Source organism: Homo sapiens, chromosome 4 (genome assembly GCF_000001405.40).
Source record: "Homo sapiens chromosome 4, GRCh38.p14 Primary Assembly".
Classification (NCBI taxonomy): domain Eukaryota; kingdom Metazoa; phylum Chordata; class Mammalia; order Primates; family Hominidae; genus Homo; species Homo sapiens.
The window spans coordinates 82,834,337-82,851,209 of NC_000004.12; the positions used below are offsets into that span (position 1 = coordinate 82,834,337).

Consider the following 16,873-nt stretch of genomic DNA (forward strand, 5'->3'; position numbering starts at 1 on the left):
GAGAAGAAAGTGCAGAAGATGAGGACGGCTTTTAAGCTGTGGGTGTTAAAGCCTGGGAGGGTATCCAGACTTCACCAACTATTAGCAGCACAAAAAAGTCTATGGAACTATTTTCTTATGTCCCCTTGGTAAAATGACACCAAATCATAATAAAATCAAATTCTAAATTAGGGGTAAAACTGAATAGAATCAGAACCAACAAGCCTCTCAGGAGGAAGGTCCGTTGGCTAGCCTGAATAAGTTAAAGGAGGGTGGGGAAGGTCTGCTGAATAGAAGGCAATATTTTATAATTAAGTACCCCTCTCCCAAAACATATGCCTAACTCCTCCTAACCTCAAACCATGCAATATATCAAGCCATGTGTTTTAGCAGAACCCCAACAGTCCTTTTATTAATTTAATGTACAATTTTGTCTCAATTATAATTCTAACCCCTTTCAATCCTTTTTGCTTTTATAGATTTAGATTTAGTGACTTTTTTAAAAAAAACTTCTCCTACTCAAGGATTTTATTTATTTATTTATTTTTGAGAGGGAGTCTCGCTCTGTCACCCAGGCTGGAGTGCAATGGCACAATCCCGGCTCACTGCAACCTCTGCCTCCTGGGTTCAAGCAATTCTCCTGCCTTAGCCTCCTGAGTAGCTGGAATTACAGGTGCTCGCCACCATGCCTGGCTAAGTTTTGTATATTTAGTAGAGATGGGGGTTTCATCATGTTGGCCAGGCTGGTCTCGAACTCCTAACTTCAAGCGATGCACCCACTTTGACCTCCCAAAGTGCTGGGATTACAGGTATGAGCCACAACTCCTGGCCTAAACATGACTTTTTACAAACAGTTCAACTGATCTCTACTTTATAGAGACATCCTTTAATAGCGACAGGACATAAAACAAGCTACATGAAGAACATGAATATCTACAGAAGACAGTACTATGGAGATTCATTACGGATGTGAAAAATGATACTCTTGGTCAACGCTTAAAAAAAATATCAACACAGTACATTTTAACCTTGAACAGAAATGTTTCAGAAAACTGAAGAGGAAATAATCCTCCCCTATCCTTTTTTAACTCTTTCAAAAAACTATAAAGTGGGGATGAATCTTTTACTCTTTTTAAAACATGACATGACTTTAAGGGCATGGAAAAATGGTTCATGGTGTAATATTAAGAAAAAAGTAAGGTCAGGCGTGGTGGCTTACGCCTGTAATCCCAGTATTTGGGAGGCTGAGGTGGATGGATCACCTGAGGTCAGGAGTTCGAGACTAGCCTGACCAACATGGTGAAACCCCGTCTCCACTAAAACGCAAAAATTAGCTGGACGTGGTGGCACACACATGTAGTTCCAGCTACTTGGGATGCTGAGGCATGAGAATTGCTTGAACCTAGGAGACAGAGGTTGCAGTGAGTCGAGATTGAGCCACTGCACTCCAGCCTGAGTGACGGAGTGGAACAAAAAAAAAGGAAAAAGTAAGATGTAAAATTATGTGTATGTGTGTGTTTGTGTTATGATCCTAATTCTTTAAAAATGCATGCACACAATGAATTACTACTTCAAACCCATTAGGATGGCTATTGAAAAACAGAAAACACAAGTATTGGCATGGATGTGGAGAAACTGAAACACTCGTGCATTCCTGGCGGGAACGTAAAATGGTGCAGCTGCTGTGAAAAACAGTGTGGTGGTTCCTCAAAAAACTAAATGTGGAATTACTGTTTGATCCAGCAATTCCACCTCTAGGTATATACACTAAAAAATTGGCCGGGCGCGGTGGCTCATGCCTGTAATCCCAGCACTTTGGGAGGCCAAGGTGGGTGGATCACAAGGTCAGGAGTTCGAGACCAGCCTGGCCAATATGGCGAAACCCCATCTCTACTAAAAATACAAAAATTAGCTGAGCGTGGTGGCACATGCCTGTAGTCCCAGCTACTTGGGAGGGTGAGGCAGGAGAATTGCTTGAACCCAGGAGGCGGAGGTTGCAGTGAGCCGAGATCGCCCCACTGCACTCCAGCCTGGGCAACAGAGTGAGACTCCATCTCAAAAAAAAAAAAAAAAAAAAGAAAAAGAATTAACAGCAAGGACTCAAACAGATATTTGCACATCCCTGTTCACAGCAGCATTATTCACAATAGACAAAGTGTCTATCGGCAGATGAATAACAAATAACAAATGTGGTATATACATACAATGGAGTATTACTCAGCCTTAAAAAAAATTCTGATACATGCTACAACATAGATGAACCTGGAAGACATTATGCCAGTCAAAAAAGCCAAACACAAAAGGACAAATGTTGCATGATTCTACTTATATAAGGTACCTAGAATAGTCAAATACATAGAGACAGAAAGTAGAACAGTAGTTACCAGAAGCTGTGGGGAACAGAAGCTATTATTTAATGGGTACAGTGTTTCAGTATGAGATGATGAAAAAATTCTGCAGGGATGGCTAATGGGTACAAAAATATAGTTAGATAGAACTGAATAAGATCTAGTTGACATCACAACAGGGTGACTACAGTCAACAATAATTATTGTACATTTAAAAGTAACTAAAAGTACTCCTTTAGTTACTTTTAGTATATGGACTGTTTACAACACAAAGAATGACAAACGCTTGAGGTGATGGATACTCCAATACCATTTACCCTGATGTGATCATTATGCATTGTATACCTGTATCAAAATATCTCATGTACCTCAAAAACATATACACCCACTATGTACCCCAAAAATTTTTTAAAAGTTCTGCTGGTTGCAAAACAATATAAATGTACTTAATGCCACAGAGCTGTACCTTCAAACATGGTTAAAATAAATTTTATCATATATATATATATATATATATATATATATATATATATATAATTTCACCACAATAAAAACTTTAATGCAAGTTTTTATGTATGCATGTATGTATGTGTATGTCTGTATGAAGGGAATAAATAAACCTAAATTAATAGTAGTTATATTTGGGCAGTAGAATTATAGGTAATTTTTATTTTATTTTTTATATGACTTTGAGTCTTTTAAAAACTTCCTACAGTGAAAAATTAATAAAAAGCAAGGAAGTTTTTTTTGTTGTTTTGAGACAGGGTCTCACTGCCGCCTAGGTGCGATCACAGCTCACAACCTCTGTCTCCCGGGTTCAAGCAATTCTCCCATCTCAGCCTCCCAAGTAGCTGGGAATATAGGCATGTGCTTCCACACCTGGCTAGTTTTTTGTATTTTTTATAGACATGGGCTCTTGCCATGTTGCCTAGGCTGGTCTCGAACTCCAGGGCTCATGCACTCTGCTGTGCCCGCCCCAAGAAACATTCATTTAAAAAATAAATATAGCATGTCACTGAATACTATGGAGTCCTATCCACCTTAGCGTAGAGATTTATCTTCCAGAGAATCACTGGGGGAAGGAAGAGGGAACTGCTGGTCTCACATGCATGGGTGGAGTTGCACAGCATCCTTACCCAATCCCACTTCTCACTGGAAACCTTCTTAGGTACTCTTATAGGAGCATAATGGTAGAATCTATGCACTGGCTAAGATACTTTTCAGTGGACTCAGGGAAAATGTTAGTGCCAAAAGCATAGAGAATTGTGGCTAGAACATTAATTTGAAATAGAGAATAGAGCATCTTTGTCAACCATACATCTTTCCTTTCCCTATAAGCCTAGCATGTCACAGGTTTAAAATGAGTATCACAAAATTAAAAATGAAAATTTAGAAAGACATGAATCCTTGAAGTCATTTTCTAATGATACAAGATAGAATTATCCAAAGAAAAGTAAGGAAGGATATCATGCTTTCCTTTACTTGAATAGTTAAAACCAGGTGCTACAATTTGCCTAAGGAATGTTCATGAAAATTTTTTTAAATTTCAGAACACTGTTTCATGAGAATATACAGTATTATTCCCCTTCAAGACTCTTCTTTGTGAAGTACAAGATTATATACATAAATTAAATTAGTCTTCATATTTGAAAGTGCTCTCCCTCCTAGAAACAGAAACAAAAGTGACAGGCAGTTATCCTAGATAGTAAAACAGGGAAAACTCCCTGCTATCCTGTGCTGCCATCACAGAAACGGCAATGCACTATCCCAACTCAGGCTGTTACCATCTCCTACCTAGAACTAGGAAAGAGCCTGTTTTCTTACCTCTGATTCTGCTGTGCTGCAAACAATTTATCTTGCAAGGCCACATCCAGATTAATCTCCCTCGCGTACCACTTTGACTGCACCACTCAGCAGTTCAAAATCCTTCATGAGAAACTTCTTTCTTATTGTATTATATGAAGTAAAACTCCTTGCCCTGGTACTTAAGGCTCTCCAAAATTTGGCCTAAATACAAACTATATGTTCAATTTGCTCTTCACTAGAAATGTATGGTCTTTTCTGCCTCCATTATCTCTGTCTGGGATAATTCTGATTGTAGACCAAACAGGTATCCATTGAGAATTTACCGAATGAATGTTTTACAGATTGCAACATTAGTTTCTCTGAGCCCTGAGCACATAATTTTGTTGTTCACTAATAGAAGGCTTGAAAGTCTCTCCTATCTGTCAGAAATTAACTATTGAACAGCTGGACTTTCTAAATCCTAAACAAAATTGTTATCTAAGACATATCGGAACGACAAAATTTTTGTTTATAATTATTATTTTTTGAGATGGAGTTTTGGTCTTTCGCCCAGGCTGGGGTGCAGTGGCACGATCTCAGCTCACTGCAACCTCTGCTCCGGAGTTCAAGCGATTCTCCTGCCTCAGCCTCCTGAGTAGCTGGGATTGTAGGCGCCCGCCACCACGTCCAGCTAATTTTTGTATTTTTTTTTCTTTTTTGAGATGGAGTTACGCTCTTGTTGCCCAGGCTGGAGTGCAGTGGTGCGATCTCGGCTCACTTCAATCTCCGCCTCCTGGGTTCAAGCGGTTCTCTTGCCTCAGCTTCCCGAGTAGCTGGGATTACAGGCATGCACCACCACGCCTGGCTAATTTTTGTGTTTTTCGTAGAGACGGGGTTTCGCCATGTTGGCCAGGCTGGTCTTGAACTCCTGACCTCAGGTGATCCGCCCGCCTTGGCCTCCCAAAGTGCTGGGATTACAGGCATGAGCCACCGCGCCCAGCCTAATTTTTGTATTTTTAGTAGAGACAGGGTTTCGCCACATCGGCCAGGCTGGTCTCAACTCCTGACCTCAGGTGATCCACCTGCCTCGGCCTCCCAAAGTGGCAGGATTACAAGTGTGAGCTACCGTGCCCAGCCTCATTTATAATTATTTAAATAACCTAAGCAAAAACTTTTAGGAAATCCAAAAAGAAAATAAGATAAAGTTGTCAGTAGATTAAAATACAGCAGACTACTATAAGATACAGTTGTCAGTAGATTAAAATATAGCACACTACTAACGTGCAAGAGGTAACAAAGCAGACAAGCATACTGCATGCTGAACACTGAAAAGTGTTGTCTGGCTTCCTCTTCCTGTTAGTCACTCTGTTTCTCAGCCAGGTTAAAACATTCTGTTACTTTGTATATAAACAAAGACTAATCTCAAGGCCACAGGCACTTCTGCTTAAGGAGAAAAAGAATATCTATGCAAACATTTAATTTAGATTATAAAGTAACAAATGCCTCAAACAGTGTTGCTGGATGATTTTTGAAATTGCAATGATGATAGTTTTCTATCATTTACACCAGGACTAAACTACCTGGTATAGAAGAATGAACATGGGCTTTGAAGATAGGGACCTGGTTTATATCTCAACTTGGAGACTATCACTGTGCAATCCTGAAACATAACTCCTAAGAAACTCAGTTTTTTCATCTGTAATTTTTAAAGAAATAATTATTACTACTTCTCAAGGTTGTAAGACTTAAATAAGAAAACATATAACAAGTGCCAGAACATGTCCAATATGAGCTCAATAAATGTTAATTCCCTTCCCTACTTCCCTGCACCACTTTTTAAGTGGGGATTTACTCCAACCCACGCCACCTCTTTCACTCAAGAATTCTGATTCTTACCCAACTACCGAGAAAGGATACTATCTTCAGTCACCCAAGTTTTAAAAGGTAATTTTTGGAACTCTACAAATGAATTAGCATTCCTCTCTAAAATATCAAACTATTGATGTATCTGTAGTGTATTACTGGAATCTTATTTGTGTAGTTAAGGATTATGCATACAGTGTGTATGTGTGTAAGTTTTGGTACTCTGGACTTTAATATTATACAGTCATGTGTCACTTAATAATGGGTATGCGTTCTGAGAAATACATCATTAAATGATTTCATCGTCGTGTGAACATCACAGAGTGCACTTACACAAACCCAGATGGTATAGCCCACCACACACCTAGGCTGTATAATATAGCCTATTACTCCTAGGGTACAAACCTGTACATCATGTTACTGTACTGAACACAATACTGTAGGCAACTGTAACACCATGGTATTTGTGTTCTAAACATAGAAAAGGTACAGTAAAATATGGTACAAAAGATTTAAAACATGGTATACCTGTATAGGGCACTCACCACAAATGAACCTTAGAGGACTGGAAGATGCTCTGGGTGAGTTGTGAGTGAAGGTAAAGGCCTAGGACATTACTATACACTACTGTTGATTTTATAAACACTACATTTAGGCTACACTAAATTTATTTAAAATTATTTTATTAACCTTAGCTTGCTGTAACTTTTTTACTTTATAAACTTTTAAATATTTTAATTTTGACTCTTTTGTAATAACACTTAGCTTAAAACATAAATATTGTATAGCTGTACAAAAACATACTTTTTCTATTTTTAAAATTTATTTATGGCCAGATGCAGTGGCTCACGCCTGTAATCCCAGCACTTTGGGAGGCTGAGGCAGGAGGGTCGCTTGAGGTCAGGAGTTTGAAACCAGCCTGGCCAACATGGTGAAAGCCGTCTCTACCAAAAATACAAAAATTAGCTGGGCTTGGTGGTGCACACCTGTAATCCCAACTACTTGGGAGGCTGAGACAGGAGAATCGCTTGAACCCGGGAGACGGAGGTTGCAGTGAGCTGAGATCATGCCATTGCACTCCAGCCTGGGTGACAGAATGAGACTCCATCTCAAAAAAGAAAAAAAAAATTTTATATATATATATATATATATATATACACACACACTAAAAATACAAAAATTAGCTGGGCTTGGCGGCTCGTGCCTGTAGTCCCAGCTACTCAGGAGGCTGAGGCAGGAGAATCACTTGAACCCAGGAGGTGGAGGTTGCAGTGAGCCGAGATCACGCCACTGCACTCCAGCCTAGGCAACAGAATGAGACTGGGTCTTAAAAAAAACAAAAAAACCCCAAAAACAACAACAACAAAAACTCAATCAAGGCCAGGTTCAGTGGCTCACACCTGTAATCCCAGCACTTTGGGAGGCCGAAGCGGGTGGATCACTTGAGGTCAGGAGTTCGAGACCAGCCTGGCCAACATGATGAAACTCTATCTCTATTAAAAATACAAAAATTAGCCAGGTGTGGTGGTGCATGTCTGTTATCCCAGCTACTCGGGAGGCTGAGGCAGGAGAATCGCTTGAACCCGGAAGGCAGAGGTTGCAGTAAGCCGAGAGTGCACCACTGTACTACAGCCTGGGTGACAGAGAGAGACTCCATCACAAAAAAAAAAACCAAACAAACAAAAAACACAAAAAACAAACCCAAACCTCAGTCAACACCTCACATTACCCAGTTTACAAACAGTTAGAAATAATACCCCTCCATCCACCCATCTGTTCATAAACAAATAAAGGAGGGGGCCAAACCAAATCCCTTTCAAGCGCAGACCTGTTCTTTGGGACGCAGGCAGCTCACTGGCAGCAGGCAGTGTACCTGTTGTTCCAGGAGGCAGTGCATAAGCTGAAGATGATGGTGGAGCTCCTGGTCCGCCATGCTGGAAGGATGCTCCAGAGGAAGGGGGAGGAGGGAAAGAAGTAGCAGGGCTGGAGGTAGGTGAAGAGGCCTGGTGCTGTGCTGCGTACAGCTGAGACTGCCCAGTATAGGAAGAAGCAGAAGATATGTAAGGGGTGTTAGGGTAAGCGTTTGAAGTAGGAGGAGCAACAGGCTGCTGAGGTCGATACATTGCTGACCCCCCTGTTCCGAAGGGATACGGCTGGGCTGGTTGATAAGCTACACCAAGGAGAAGAAACAGAAATTTCAATTAGTTACAAGTTTATTCAGATAGTAGCAGAAAACTAAAAAGTTATCTCAGTCTATAGAAATGATTTTAATCAAAATAAGTTACAATCCCAAATTAAAAATTTACACCATTATATTTTTGAGGCTCAAATGCCCCAAATACACTTGAATTCAATAGCTTCAGTATTTGAAAAATGCCATCCCCAAACTGCCTCTGGTTATGAAAATATTTGAATCATCAGACCCAAGAACTGCAAGACTGACCCTTTTCTGAGACTTTTCCTGATCCTGTGAAGAGACAACAGTGACCACCAGATGGAACCAGGGAGGAATTACACATTCAAAGCACCCCACTTCACAGAAAAAGTTACATGGAGTTTGGTGGCAGCTCCAGACCTCCCTCCCAATAAGAACTGTAGGGTGAACACTATTGTTATGTATCAAATATCTTCTCCAACATCCAGTTAAATTACCAGCTACTGAAATTCTGAGTTTGAGCACAGTTCCAGATTAACGGCTAACTCTATGATCCCTAACAAAATTTTACATACAGTATGAAGATGGTTAGTAAACAATCAGGCAAGGCAGCCAACTCATGTTTTAATGCAAAGACCTAAACCCAGATTAGGGAGTTGTGGGTTTTTTTTTTTTTTTCTTTGAGACAGGGTCTTGCTGTGTCACCCAAACTGGAGTGCAATGGTGTGATCGTAGCTCACTGTATTCTCAAACTCCTGTGCTCAAGCGATTCTCCTGCCTCAGCCTCCTGAGTAGCTGGGACTACAGGCTATAGGTGCCACCACACCCACCTAATTTTTACATTTTTCTTTTGTAGAGATGGCGTCTTCCTTTGTTCCCCAGGCTGGGGTCAAACTCTTCACCTCAAGCAATCCTCCTAACTTCAGCCTCCCAAAGTGCTGGGATTGCAGGCATGAACCACCATGCGTGGCTTAGGGAGATCTAAATATAAATACCATCACATTCACATTCTTTGTGACCAAGAGTAGGTATGAACCTCGATAGAGTGAATCTAGTAAAAGTGGATCTGTTTCCTATCTACTCTGAAGACAGCTTTCACATTAAACATTTGAGTGAAAGGTTGTATCAAATTCATATTTATGTTGAACAATAACATTCATTTTAGCACAGAACACATTCATTAAATTTTCCCCTTTGAGATTTTTATTTTTTTTTTTTGCATTTAAATTTTCAAATAGTGGCAATATTTCACTTTCCAGGTATAATTATTTTCTTTTAAAAATGCCACTAATAGATACATGTCATTACACATTTGTTAAAATCCACAGAATGTACAACACTGAGAGTGTAAACTGTGGACTTTGGGTGATAATGAGACATTGATGTAGGTTCATCGATTGTAACAAATACACCACTGTGGCGTAGGATGTCAATAGTGGGGGCACTCTGTACTTTCTGCTCAATTTTGTTCTGAACCTAAGACTGCTCTAAAATACAAAGTCTATTAAATAAATAAATAAAATGGAAAAACAGTAATAACAAATGCCCCTTGAAACCATTTTTCCAAAAATAATTTGTGTCATCTTGCCTGAAGAAAAAGAATATGTAAAAAATAATTTCTAAAATTCTGTTTCTTTATACCAAAATCATGGGACACTTGATTATCTTTAACAAGTCTTAGTAATGGCTGAGGAACAGGAGTCAACTACTCTGAACAGTGTGACAAAGGAGCTACTTCCTAGCATAGTGATTCAGGCCACCTCCTAAAAAAACATGTCTCTTTGTAGCAGGGACTCAGGAATCCTATGCACAATGGTTCTTACTTATTGATTTGACAATGACTTTGGGGCTTCAAAGTAAAGTTACTAAATTAGATCATAAATACTGCTCTGAAAGGACTTTGGGGTCACACTACTTACGCTGTGGCTGTGGATAAGGTGGTACCTGGGTGTGCATATGACCTGGAGATGTGGGAAGCTGACCAGCAGCATTTGGATTAACATTTCCATGCATTATGAAACCCGGAGGTGGAGGATTTTCTCCCTAAGAAACAAGAACATGGTAAGAAGGCGGATACAAGTAGAACCAGGAACTTCACCAGATGGAATTACAATCTCTGAAATGGAATTCTATGTTTATTTAAAAAAAAACTTTATTGCATAAGAAACATTGCATTTTGCATATTCTATCTTCCTCATAATACCACATTTTCTGAGCAGCACATTTTGAATGATTAAAGATCAGACAGATCCAAAGTAATAATTGCAATGAATGGCAAAAGATGCTAACAGCCTTTAAAAATATTTATGAAATGTCACCAGGATTTTCCATCTCTACTAATTTCCATCCACTACTCCACTCTGTAAATATAAGTATAAATGCCATAAAGGGATCTTTTGTTTCTCTTCAATTTCTGCAATGCTAAAAAAGGAAAAAGAAAGAAAAAAGAAAAAAAGTCTTCAGTAAAATCAGATTTAAACCATTGTCAAAACCTTGGTTGGTGTTTTTGTAGTTCAAGTCAATTTAAAACTGCAAAAGAAGGAGGGGAAGGATAAGGAAATAAATTAATTGTGCTAAAAACTGCTTCTTGCATCCTAAAAGCATTAAAATGCAATGAGCAGGCAGATGGATGGGGAGTGGGGGTGAAAGAGCTTGAGGAAGGTAAGTAGAGAACATATAACTGTATATTTAGGTGAGCAGAATTCTGCTCAAAGAGGAATAATGAAGGATATACCTGTGTGTCAGAGGGAGAGGCTGCAGGTGGATGGCTGGGAAGGGCAGTAGGAGTTTTGTTACTCCAGGTAGTGACAGTAGGGGCAATTCTAACCTGAATTGAACAAAGAAATACCAATCACAGAAAATAAAAAATGAAAACGTTAAAAGAAGAAAAAAACCCCAAAAGGTATTAATAGCCAGATGCAAAGCCAAAGGTAAGATTGGCAAGATAACATACATTAGTCAGGCAACTGCTTTCAAGGTAGCTGGAATTCCCAAAAAAACAAAACAAAACAACAACAACAAAAACCACACAATCACAATGAAACAGGGAGAGGAAGGCAGGAGAAAAATCAATATGAAAACCTAAATCAAAGCACAAGAACAATGCCATTCAAGTGTCAATTATAAGTGGGTAAAGTGAGGCTTTGTAAGTAGAGAAGGAAAAAAGACATTCCAGGAAAAAAAAAAGTAATTGAGTAAAAAAGTGATTTTTTTTTTGGAAGCATTAATAGTATTCAAGCTACTACTAATCTACAAACACAGTGGTATAAGCTCTCTTTTCTGGATTTCATTACAGCCACAAAAGTCATATCAGTCCAATATGAAGCTTAAAACTCATACAATCAGAGTATTAAAGCTGAATATTAAAGATCTTCCAGTCTAATCCCCACCCTTTATTGCTGACAAAACCAAGGCCCAGAGAAGTGAAGGGACCGTACAACTCAATGGTGATTCCAAGTCACCTGATTTCCAGGCCAGTGTTTTCTATACTACACCATGTTGCTTGCCCTAGAGGCCATTGTTTTTTTGTTTGTTTGTTTGTTTGTTTTTCCGAGACGGAGTGGAGTCTCACTCTGTCGCTAGGCTGAAGTGCAGTGGTGCGATCTCAGCTCACTGCAAACTCCGCCTCCCAGGTTCATGCCATTCTCCTGCCTCAGCCTCCTGAGTAGCTGGGACTACAGGCGCCTGCCACCATGCCCAGCTAATTTTTAGTATTTTTAGTAGAGACGGGGTTTCACTGTGTTAGCCAGGCTGGTCTCGATCTCCTGACCTCGTGATCCGCCCGCCTCAGCCTCCCAAAGTGCTGGGATTACAGGCGTGAGCCACCACGCCCGGCCTGTTTGTTTTTTTAAGCCATCAAAATCCTTTTTGTCAAGTAAATCTTTGCAGAAACTCCAAAACATAATAATAATAATAATAATAATAATAATAATAATAATACAATTGACTCTTGAATAACATGGGTTTCAACTGCATGGGTCCACTTAGATGTGAATTTTTTTCAATAGAAGTTACACTGAGTGTGCCTGACTCTCCTGCCTCCCCTTCCACCTCCTCCACCTTTTCTCCCTCTGCCATCCCTGAGACATCAAGACCAACCCCTCCTCTTCAGCATATTCAATGTGATGACAAGAAGGAAGACTACTTCCACTTAATGATGAATATTAATGATGAATAGTAAATATATTTTCTCTTCCTTATGATTTCCTTAATTACATTTTCTTTTTTCTAGCTTACTTCATTATTTTTTTGTTTGTTTGTTTTGAGACAGAGTTTTTTGCTCTTGTTGTTCAGGCTGGAGTGCAATGGCGTGATCTCAGCTCACTGCAACCTCCGCCTCCCGGGTTCAAGCGATTCTCCTGCCTCAGCTTCCTGAGTAGCTGGGATTACAGGCATGCGCCACCATGCCAGCTAATTTTTTGTATTTTTAGTAGAGACAGGGTTTCATCATGTTGGCCAGGCTGGTCTCGAACTCCTGACCTCAGGGGATTCACCTGCCTTGGCCTCCTAACGTACAGGGATTACAGGCGTGAGCCACCGCGCCTGGCCTGCTTACTTCATTGTTAAGAATACGGTATATAATAAATACAACATATAAATTGTGTGTTAATGGACTGTTCATGTTATCAGCAAGGCTGCCAGTCAACAGCACGCTAATTTTAGGGGTTAAGTTCTGGGGAGTGAAGTCATAGATTTTCAACTGTACGCAGGGTCGGTACCCCTAACCCACATGGTTCAAGGGTCAACTGTAAAGGCAAAGCTGCGCTGGTCAAAGTGGAAGTGCAAGTCCTCCTGATCTGGCCTCTCTCACCCCCTTGCCTCTGCCTGTTAACACTGCATTAAAACCACAAGCCACTGTCCTCATTCATTCAGTACATCTTAAGCTTTAATCAAGAAAATCACTGCTTTATTTACGATTCACTTTGTCTTTTCCTACAAGTGTAAGATTGGTAAATCAAAGTATAACAAATCTTTCAATGTTTTTATCTTTTTCAAGAAAGAAAAAGCTAAGGACATAAAGAGCAAATATTCTCTTTTCCTAATGTAGAGCTTGCCTTGCTTCAGTACCTGACAGGTAGCTTGGTTTAACAAGACGCTTGGGAGTTCTAATCCCAACTTGGCCGGTAACCAGCCATGCAACGCTGAGAAATTCAAGCTCTGTGTCTTCAGTTCTGGTGGGTTGCTTGACATCTCTGCTTCTCAGTTTTCCCAGCCATCATCTGTTCTGCCCTACCTATGTCACAGACTAAGTCTAGTGCAATCTCCATGAAGGGGGGAATTTACTCTGTTTTGTTCATAACTATACCCCCACAGCAGCCAGAGCAATGCCAGGCACTCATGGCAGGGTCTTAAAAAAATATTTGTCAAATGAATGAAAAAAGTCAAAATAGAGAGTATTCTAGAGAGTTAACAGTTACATTCAAATGTAATCTATCCTGATTTAGTAGTACCAAACAAAAACATAACAGACAAAAGGGCATTAATTTTTTTTGTTTTTCAAGATTTTATATTTACTTTTGCTATAACAAAATGTAAAAAGACTCCATCAATCCTATCAGCAATTTGTTCTATTTTAAAATAGGCAGAGTACCTGTTAACTTTGCTATCAATCAAGACCATTTATTACCTATGGAAAAAATATTCTTCATTTAAGTACATGAAGGTTATCTGCTGGTCTGGAAATATGGAAGTTTCCATGTGAAACAGTAAAAAATAGTAAGAAGCCACATTTTATGACACCAAACATTTGGTAATTTAAATAAAATTATTAGTTCTTTTCACATTCCACATAATCTAAAATTTCACAAACCTTTGGTCATTCATTTTTCTCTAATATCTAAATTGTCCAAAAAAAAAAAAAAGTCTGTATTCTGGATACACTTCATATTGTGCAAATACAGAATACACTAAGCCTAAACCTATACTAATGATTAAGAATACTCAAAAAATACTATCTTCTAAAAATATTTTATAAAACAACCAAATCACCAAGATTTTTCCTGCTACTTTACAGCTTGTTAGATGAATCAAATAGAAATTTTAATAGTAGATGTACATGTTTAAGTGAACTTTGAGTGACAGAGAAATAGAACAAATCTCCCTAGAGAACTTAAAACCAATTCATATTTAAAATATAATCTGTTTGACTAAATGAGAGAGATGATTTCAAAAAGTAGATCACAAATACAACTTCAAGATTCTAGAAAATAGATCTATTATAACAATATATTGTCTAGTTTTACCATATCAGAGAAGGTCTCCTGCTGAACAAATGAAAACCACCAATTTGAAGAGAAATACAAAAGTGTTCCTACTTCATCTGGACCATATCACTCACATGGGGATAATATTGTTGAGTTTGAACTCTTGGCATCTGGTGGTGGCCAGCAACTGGTCCAGGCCTGCCCTTGGGGAGCTGCTGTTTCTCGTACGGAATTTTAGGTGATTCATGTCCTGCTACAGGCTCTCCTTGTGCTCTACAAAGTCTGTCACGAAGCTGCATGATATTTGGCTAAAAAGGATTGGAAAAACAGCAGACTGTTGAGAGTTCACCCAGGTATATGACAGCATGTTAATTTTCTTAATCAGATTATTCATCAAGATATCCCTTTTTGTTCATAATGCTGGGTATTATACAATAGACCCTGACACACAGATTTGACATTGTGCTTTCTACTACTCAAGACTGGCACCAAAGGTCCATGACATACAGTGCAACTTGTAATTTAACTGAGGCAGAGATCTGAGTTATACCTACCTCATGGTTACTATGCAAGACCAATATCACTTATTACTACTCTTTTGATGTTTTCTTGTGGTTACCTAATGCTCATAAATTACAAAACTACTTTAAAAACTATAACTAAGGCCAGGCGCAGAGGTTCACGCCTGCAATCCCAGCACTTTGGGAGGCCGAGGCAGGCAGATCATGAGGTCAGGAGATCGAGACCATCCTGGCTAACACGGTGAAACCCCATCTCTACTCAAAATACAAAAAATTAGCTGGGTGTGGTGGCGGGCACCTGTAGTCCCAGTTACTCGGGAGGCTGAGGCAGAAGAATGGCGTGAACCAGGGAGGCGGCACTTGCAGTGAGCTGAGAACATACCACTGCACTCCAGCCTGGGCGACAGAGCAAGAATCCGTCTCAAAAAAAAAAAAAAAAAACTATAACTAAAAGAGGCCACCAAAGAGAATCAACTACTAAAGGTGGTTATTGAAGAAAATGGTGATTTAAGAAAGAGATGAAAATGTTAAAAGAGATTTTTGAAATAAAGATTAAGATGTGAAATTCAGATCTGTAGCTCATACAGATCTACATGCATAGAGACTTACAAAAGTATGAGGTGACCCTATATATGCTCTAAGTATTAACAAATAACAAAAAGGCAATGTGTTAAAATGTTTCAGCAAGATTTTAGTATCTTTAAAAATTATACATTCCTATATATTTGTTAAAGGTTTAAAGGGATCATTTAAATGTTTTAGGCATATTTTATTTGCCTTTTGGGGGGGAGAATTATATATTACAATGCTATCACAAAGTCTCAGGACGTATTCCCCCCACCAAAAAAGGCAGGGTCTACTGAGATAAATAGGAAACAACATCAAAATTATGCTTTTTGGCCTAAAGAATGTTCTTTAAAGTCCAAAAAAAAAAAAGCATGAAGAATAATGTATAGAAAATGGATGTGCTTATAAATGGTACTGAAAATGAATTAAGCTAGATGAGCTACGGGTCTTAAAGCAAATTAGTCTTAAGATAAAGGTTCTTATAATATACCTCAATATAACTATTTACTTATAACTTTTTACTTATTAGGTAAAAAGTCTTAACAAAACTAGTATGCCAAAGTCACCATAAAGGAAAAGATTATGTATCAGCTATTCTATCTAACATTCCCATCAACAATTCAGAAACAAATGAGATGGATCTTACAGCTAAGTGTATACAAAACCAACTAGAGAGTCCTACCTCCATAGTCCTGGAGAATATTATGTACTTTTACTCAATGAAATTTATCAATAATTCTCTAAAACAGACAAAATACTAGAAACAATTGACTAAAAAAATACATAAAATACAGAATAAAGTGATTAATAAAAAAGTACAGAGACAAGACTGTATCTGCAAGGCTCAAAATCAAGCTCCATCAGACACAAAATGCAGATATATTGTTGTGGAAAAGTTTCCTCAAACCTCACCCGTACTTTTACCCATGCTCCATAACTGGGTTTGGGTTTCCCTTTGTTGGGTTCCACAGCACCAATACCCTTATCACAGTACTTATATCACACTTCTGGAATCTCATGTTTACTTGTCCATAGCCAAATTGAGTTTGGAGGCTTCCTAGAGGAAGGATCTTGGCAATCTTATTCACCATTCTATACCCACTTGTTGAATTGAATTGAAACAAGTATAGTTTTGCCCAAGTTTTATTGTGCAATAAGTAAGGACAATCTAATTAGTTCCCTCTGCTCTGAATACATAAAAATATACTTGCCCACAGACAGTATCAAACTAAAATGGCATACAGAATGAACTTCAATACTATCTGGGATGGAACATATGGGATTTTAAAAATGTTAACAACTCCATTTGTTTGATTAAACATTAACATTTATAGCTTTTTGACATAAAATATTCCTACAAAGAACTTTGTATGAAGAATCAGCATTTGGCTTTAGAAATAAAAAGTTGGTCTTTTCCCTGTTCATTTTCCTAAAATACTATGTCGGTACAAA

At 38.7% G+C, this 16,873-nt stretch overlaps 1 protein-coding gene across 57 annotated transcripts in view; it reads right to left on the minus strand.

Moving 5' to 3' along the window:
* Positions 1–16,873, minus strand: part of SEC31A (SEC31 homolog A, COPII component) — an 82,061-nt gene that overhangs the window by 15,828 nt on the left and 49,360 nt on the right. For 24 of the 57 annotated variants that reach the window (NM_001318120.2, NM_016211.5, NM_001077207.4 and 21 more), the window contains 3 exons: positions 14,468–14,641; positions 10,050–10,173; positions 7,804–8,145 (listed from right to left, as the gene is read on the minus strand). In NM_001318120.2, the coding sequence (NP_001305049.1) occupies positions 7,804–8,145; positions 10,050–10,173; positions 14,468–14,641 (640 nt within the window). 57 annotated transcript variants of the gene reach the window in all.